Genomic DNA, 8,211 nt, shown 5'->3' on the forward strand with positions numbered 1-8,211 from the left:
CAGGCAAGTGTCATCGGCTAAATGGTTAGGAGAGTGCAATTAGGAATGTAATATCGAAGCATAATATCAGATGTACTACATACATATTATTCTATGTATGATTGCTGGATGCTATACAAACTGTAATAGGAGAAAATGAGATATCAGCCTCAATAATCATGCTGAAGATAAATCATAATCAGAGTCTCCAAAATGTTTTCTATATTGAAAAGATCTTGCCATAGAATGCATGCCCTGACCACAAACTTCTTCTAAATGGATGATCAGGTACAGCTTCCATGAGAAAAGCAACCTTAGGTGGTTTCTTAAGCACAAAGCACCATGTAGCACTATGTGACACCTCCTGCCCCCACCCTTATTCTCTGCCTGCAGATGATTTTTTCGGGGGAGTTGAGCACCTGGCCCAAGGATGGCCATGTTCTATGACTTGGTCTGATACAAAAGGCTTCCCCCAAACACAAGGTGATTCGTTGAGATGGTGACATTCTTATTCTCTCAAGAATTTGAACTAAAAATATACAAAGGACATACCACTGTCAATGGATCAGAAGGAGAAAGATAAGCAAATAGAGGCTGAATAAAACCCCAGCTTACTCACATTCAATGCACAGGACAAGAAGGAACTCAGTTAATTCCTGCTGCTGAGAAACTAACAATTTCACTTAACCCCTAGAGATGCCTCTTCCAACACCAAACAGCCTTCCAGGTCCCAAACTATTCCCAGATCCTTAAGGTTTAGCTGTAAGAGTAGTCCAGAGATTCCTTTTACTCTTATTGCAACAGTTACCATTACAATAAACCAGAACAATAAGTGCAACTGGGCCAGATTCAAGTCATGATTTTCATTTCTATTGACCTTTCCATTGTGGAAATGTACAGAGTTTCTGTTACTCCCTGATACACTTCACTTCCCTCCATGAAATTAAATTCCTCCATTTACTTTTTACTACCTGTATTTCAATTCTATTTATTATTATTTGTTGTTGCTGCTTTCCTTTTTTTGTTATTTTTGCTTTGGCTCCTAGGATGAAGTGATGTAAGGAACAACTGACTTTTCTTAAGTTTTGGCCTTGAGAGTGAGAAAGAGCAGTGAAGGAAGGATGGGAGGGGTAGTGGGCCGAGAGATGAAAGTACTTAGAGGATCTGAACAAGGTTTGTGGACCAGGCTTCACCAGCCCCATTAGCATCCTCTGGGTTTTTCAAGGGATTTGGAGAGCACAGCCATGATATTAACCACCACCATGTGCTCAGCCAGGCTTAGCCCAGTCACAACCATCCTAGGGGACAGAATCAACTCCTCTTATCTTATAAATAGATGTTATATGCTATAGATCTATATGTTACAGATCTGAATATACTCCAGCAAATAAAGTGGACATATAGTTAGGGAAGTCTTTTCTGAAAAGAAATAACCAAGAAAAATTACTAAAATCCAGTGCGGGGAGGAGAGGATTCAGTCTACTAGAGAATAATTTGAAGATAAAGTTCAATCAACAAACATTTGTTGACTCTGTGTGTAAAGCTTTGCAACACATTGTGTTGTCAATAGGCACAGCCCCAGCCCTTAAGGAACATATGGTCTATTGGAAGAGAAAGCCGAGTAAATAAGTGATTGCAATAGAGTGTGACACATTTTATAATAGAGATATGTACAATGCATTATGTGAGCACAGAAGCCTAAATAAAAATTTCTGTGAGACATAGGAAAAAGGAGCCTGGAATAATCACATTTTAAGCTGGAACATGATATGAGTTTGCTAGGCTGACAATTTATTCAGATAAACAGCATGAACAAAGGCATGTAGATGCTGAGATATAAATGGTGTTCAGGGAATGAAAAGTGGCCTGTGGTGGCCAGAGTATGGGGTAAAAAGAGGAATGGCAGGAGAAGAGGCTGGCAGGGAGGAGTGTCCATGAACGGCCTCAAATGCCTTGCTAAGGACAATAGATTTATCCTGCAGACAGCAGAAAGTCACCCAAGGTTTTCTAACCAAAGGAGAACAAGATGAGGCCTGCAGTTTTGAAAGCATTCTTGAATGAAAGACAGAAGATGGAAGAATGAAGACCAGGTAAACAGGTGTTGGAAAAGCCAATGAGAAATAAGGGGGAGTCTATATTAAAGAAGAAGAAGAAAGTGAGGGGAGGGGGAAGGTGGGGAGATGCTAGAGAAATTTCAGAAATAAAATTGAAGGATGAAAGACAAGTAGATTTAACTAGAAGATAAACTCTTTAAATTGAAAGAGAGCAAAGTTTCAGATTGCAAAAAGGACCATGTAGTAATTTCAGAAGCAGAACATAAATCTCACAATCTGATAATATAGTAGAACAGAGCAAGTCACTATTGCCAAATGGATGAATTCTTTTTCTACTTTGCAGATTGTCCATCCTTGCTTAATCATAGTCAACTAGGCAGAAAATCTTTCTGTGAAGTAACAATATAATCAGAGGTGTTAATTACATACCTCATTTTCTCCACTTTTAGCACTACTCTTTCATTGAGTCTTTCTAAACACATTGGTTACTTAACAACATGGTTAAGCAAACATCCCTCACACCAGCAGATATCCATTCATGTATCATTCGACAAGCATTTACTGAGCACCTACTATGTCCCAGGAATTATGCTAGGTCCTAGATATCTAGTGGTGAACTAGACAATTGAGATCCCTTCCCTGACTGAGATTTCACTGTAATGAAAGTGAGAAGCAATTTAAGTAGCATTTTCAATACAGTGTGTTAAAGTGCAGTAAAGGGAAGTATTTCCTTTACGGTCTAGAGCAGTACCTGAGAGAGTGCATTTCTAAAAATCCCCAAGTAATGTTGATGTTTCTAGTCTAGGGACCACACGTTAAATGGCATAGATTCCCATAACCTAGTGTTAGTCATTCTCACTCAAAGTCACTTGAAGAGAAATTGGCAGGAGAATGAAATCTGCATTTCCTGCATATCATGATTTCAGCAATAGCAATTAAGAACAGAGAAAGAATGAACAAGCAAATACAGGCATACTTGCAGGACTCTGATGGAACTACAGCAGAAAATCCAACTGACCTTTGAGCAAGTTGGTTCAGAAAGACAGTGGAGATGAGTGTCCACACTTGGGACCTCAAGCAGATGTGTAGAACCAGAGCCATGAAGGTAGAAAACTAGGTCCAGGACAGAGTTCTCATTGCATCACTCATTTTGCCCACAGCCCAGTGCAGAGGGATTAGCATTTAATACCTGACCCAAAATTAAGTTATAATAATACTGCTTAAATAATTTGCTATGTGCATTTATGCTTCAAATTAAATATTTTATAAATGTCTTTCATCCTATGGGTTCATATATTTTCAACTAATTATTTTGTTGTCCTAACAAAGTTTCTGGATCTTAAACATCCTTTTCAGGCAAGATTAAAGAGAGTAACTGAGCTAGGAGAATTTAGCTGACTGGGATCCTGAGACCATCTACCTTGTCTTTCAAAGCAATTAAAAGGCCAAGAGAAGCAGAAAGGAAATGGGAAAGAGAGGAATCTGCTTCTGTTTATTTAGTTAGCCTCTGTCACACCTGAATTATAGGATACTGCAAATCCAGAGTCCTAACAGCTGCAACAGCAAGACACACAAACATAAAACAAGCAATAAAGAAACATCAATAAAAGACCCTTTCCCAACAAAATGTTCTTTACTTTGCATTTAATACAATATAATCTAAAATGTGTGCTTAAATTTCAGGATGTGGGTCTATACCATTAACACAAGATATTTAAATATGCACCTAAGTCAGCATCTGAAAAATGGCTCACCTAGCTTCCAGAGTTCCACCTGACTATATTCTGTGAGCTTTACACCTTGTTCCCCTTCAGGAAGCTAGAATTTTCAGGCCTGTGTGTCCTGATAAAAGCCTCAATACAGAAAGTCATCCCAGGTGAGGAGGCACATCACACCTCCTCATTTTGAGGATGGGCCCTACACTATCAAGAAAAGCCAGGAATCATAGTTTTGCTTTCCTTGGCTCTTGTTATATTGACAATCAAAAACTACCTTACAGGGTATTTCTGAAGTTTAACCCTTAACACTGTTATACTCTTTGGGCCTTTCCTACACTTGTTCTTGCTTGCATTCAGCCAGGACTGGATGCCAGTAAAGGAATTAAATAAGTGAAATTTGTTTTCTGTGCTCTTTACTCTTCTGATAACCATCAGACACCAGGGTCCTCCTGTTGCTCCCAGCTGCCCACAGACCTCTGTAGCACCCACCCTGGACCAATAGCCCATGGTCAGAAAACATTTTCTTCCTTTGGAAACAGCTCCGACAACAGCTTAGGAAATTTCCCCCCATCCCCATTTCATATGGCTCCAAGGAGGCTTTCCATCACAGAATGCCACTCCCAGCAAGGAGTGGGCACGTGACCAAGGTCTGCTCAATCCAGGTCCTTTCCTGGGACTATGGCTGGTGCCTAAGAATTATTAAAATGGGAGCCCAGAGCTGCCAGTGGCCATATTCTCTATTTGAAGGCACCAAAGCTAACGAGACCAACACAGAGACAGAAGATAAAACCAGAGTTGGAGATACAGAGGAAGCCATAGCATTTTTGCTAATGAGAAATCAGAACAGTTAATTCCACCAACTCTTATGCTTCTTGAAAATATATGCAATAATAATCATAGTTTACTAGGTTACTTCTCTCAAGTAATATATTTGAAATTAACTTGAGACACTCTGGTAGACTGAAAAGAATATTGAATATGCTGTAAGACAACCTATGTTTAAATTTCAATTCCAAAATTATTAGCTGAATGGTATCAGGAAAGTTTCTTCGTCTATAAAATATGGGTAAAAATACTTCCCAGATTGTTGTGAGAGTTAAATTATGTAATACTCGAAAAGTGCTTTCGTTAACTATAAAGCCAGAGAGAAAAATAGAAAGACAGAAAAAGAGATTGAAGGGGATGGGAATTAAAGTCAGAAAATCTTTAAAATTGCCTAAGATAATGCAATGATATTAAAAGGATTCTAATTTGATAAATAATGCTAAGAAGTCAGACATTTGATGTCTATCTGGAAACTGCCCAGCACTTTTAACCCAAGTTCTGATTTGATCTCAGAGCCCTCCAGTGTTTGATACACGATGCACCTAAATCCTCCTGTTTTCAGTGCTGTTCCCAGAAAAACAAATAAAAAATTATTGTCATATTATACTGAAACTAGACCTTGGAGAGCGTATATTCAATTCCCACATTTATGAGATGAGGAAGGGGCTATATATACAAACAGTATTTCAGAAGCCGAAATCATACTATTTATTTTGAAATTTCACCCTTTATATTTTTCCTGAGTGTCAAAATTCAGCAATTACCATTTTGATATAAATAAGATCCACTCTTATTTAAAATGTATAATTAAGGTGTATCTATACTGATTGGGACCAAATTATCACTCGGTAATGTAAACATGATGCTTTAAATATACATTTACATCTTGGAATTATTTTAGAACAGATGCTTTGGCAATTAAAATGCAAGTATTTTTTAATCAAAGCCTGTACTTATGACAATTCCTTGATGCCCCCTACTGGCCATAACATTATCATCCAGTGTACATATGAATTCTTTCTGCATGACCTTCTAATCTGCTTCATAATATGCCTGAACACTGGGAAGGCTGACTTGGGGAATAAAATAAGTAAATAAAGGGCTACACAAAATACAAAAATGCATCAAAAACATTAAGCCAATAATATAAACCCAAAACAAATCATTACTGGGTAAATTTTCAAATCATTACTGGGTAAACCAGTTTCACTTAATATTTAATTTACGAAGCATAATAATCATGAAGTGAATTTTGTTCTTATTTTTAAATTTTCCGATTGCATCAGACTCTATAAGAATGGTCTATTGAGAAGTGCAGGCAACATAAAAATATGAGTAAATGCCCTAACCAGTCAGATAACTTTAAGACCCAAGTGAACTTAACTAAAATACATTCCTAGTTCCCATACAATTTTATACACACACGTACTCATGCACACACACTGAACACCCTGCATGGCATAAATATCATACTTTTGACCCAAAGAAAAATCATGACCCCTACAATAAACCAAATTATGGTTAGCCTAATGCTATAACCAATTAAATCCCTGATAGCCCTCCATGACCAACTCCCACCACCACCAACACATCATCTCTGGAGCCCCTGGGTTTCCCAGCCTCTCATAGACAAGTTTATCAAAACATTCCCCATATGAAGACCCACCAGGCCCTACTTCCCAAACAACCACTTTTGAGACCCACCATCTACTCATGTTGAACACCCTAAAGGGCGTTCCTGAGCCATCTTTGCTGCCAGTCAGATCTGAGACCTTATGCTCCCTGTATCACACCTCTTCCTATCCCCGAGGACCCTGGCTCCTAGTCCCAGAGTTCTCTTTTGATTTCTGCACCCCCCACCCTTTTTCTACCTGTCCCTCACATCCCAGCCCAATGGCTGTATTCATTTCTAGGGCTACCATAACAAAATGCCATGGTCTGGTGGCTTAAATGATGGAAATGTATTTTCTTACAATCCTGGAGGCCAGAAGTTCAAGATCAGGATGTCAGCAGGTTTGGTTTCTCCCAAGGCCTCTCTCCTTGGCTTACAGATGGCTTCTGTCTCACTGCATCTTCATATGGTCTTTCCTCTGTGCACGCACAACTCTGGTGTCTCCCTGTGTGTCCAAATTTGCTCTTCCTGTAGGGACACCAGTCAGATCAGATAGGGCCGACCCTACCAGCCTCATTTAACTTAATCACCTCTTTAAGGACCTTTTCTCCAAATTCAGTCACTTTCTGAGGTGTGAGGCCTTATGGTTTTAACACATGAATTTGGAGATGCGGGGGCCACAATGTAGCTCATAATACCAATAGACACCTAATAACAGGCCTCATGGTGTAGAACCTCGTGTCCATGTGGTAAGCGTGGAGCCCCTTCCCCACTGCCCTGCCCATAGATTGAGTGCCTCCTATCTGGGATGAAAGCTGAGGTTGGTTGGTTGGTTGGTTGGTTGGTCGGTCGGTCGGTCGGTCGGTCGGTCGGTTGGTTGGTTTTAGAGACAGGAGTCTCGCTCTGTCACCCATGCTGGAGTGCAGTGGCATGATCATAGCTTACTGTAGTCTCAAACACCTGGACTCAGGTGATCCTCCCACCTCAGCCCCCTGAGTAGCTGGGACTACAGGCATACGCCACCTCGCCTGGCTAATTTTTTTTTTCTAGAGACAGGGTCTCACTATATTGCTCAGACTGGTCCAAATTCCTGGCATCAAACGATCCTCCCATCTTAGGCTCCCAAGGTGCTAGAATTACAGGCATGAGCCACCACACCTGGCTGAAAGCTGACGTTCTGATTGTTGCTTGGCTCTATTCAAAGTTTCCCCTTCCCCGAATGCAGAATCTTTTCAGCCTGGAAAATGTCCCCACAGTTAATGTAGACCATTAAATATATCCATTCCTCTGGTCTACTGGATGTGTCTCAGGCTGAATCACAGGTTCATCTACCTCACCTACACCATGTTGACAAAATATTACCACTAATTATAATAACGGTGTTAAAACCTTTATTGAGTTCTAACCACGTCCCAGACACTTTGACAAGCACTTCTCATGCATAATCGTCACTATAATCCTGTAGATTTGATGCATAATAGATGATCAATAATTATATGAAGAAATTAATGAATGAATGCTATCACTGTGCTTATTTTATGGTTGAGGATATATAGACTCATAGAAACTAAGTAGCTTGCTCATGGTCCTGTAGCCAGTAAATGGCAGAGCTGGTTCTCTTCACCATGCCTCATGCACTGCCATGCCTTGTGCACATCCCCAGAGTTGCAGCAGCCAAGCCATCTAGTGCCTTGTCTCCTTAGGACTCAATCTTGAATATTAGCTCATGCTTCAAAGATACGGGACAAGTAAAAATTGTTCTATGACATTCAAAATCAAAACTCAAGTGCTAGACAGGCACACTTACATAGACAGGGTAAGAGATATATTTAAGATTGAAAGCGTTTTATTGCTTTGGCAGTTTTAAAACATAGCTCTAAACTATATGATACTACTCCCATCTTGAGGTGAGAGCTATGTCTCTTTTCTTTGAATCTAGATGAGTTTATGATTGACTAGACCAATAAAATAAAACAAAATTATACTTTGACATCTGAGGCTAGGTCAGAAAAGACCATCAATT

The sequence above is a fragment of the Homo sapiens genome, chromosome 6 (assembly GCF_000001405.40).
Source record: "Homo sapiens chromosome 6, GRCh38.p14 Primary Assembly".
Classification (NCBI taxonomy): domain Eukaryota; kingdom Metazoa; phylum Chordata; class Mammalia; order Primates; family Hominidae; genus Homo; species Homo sapiens.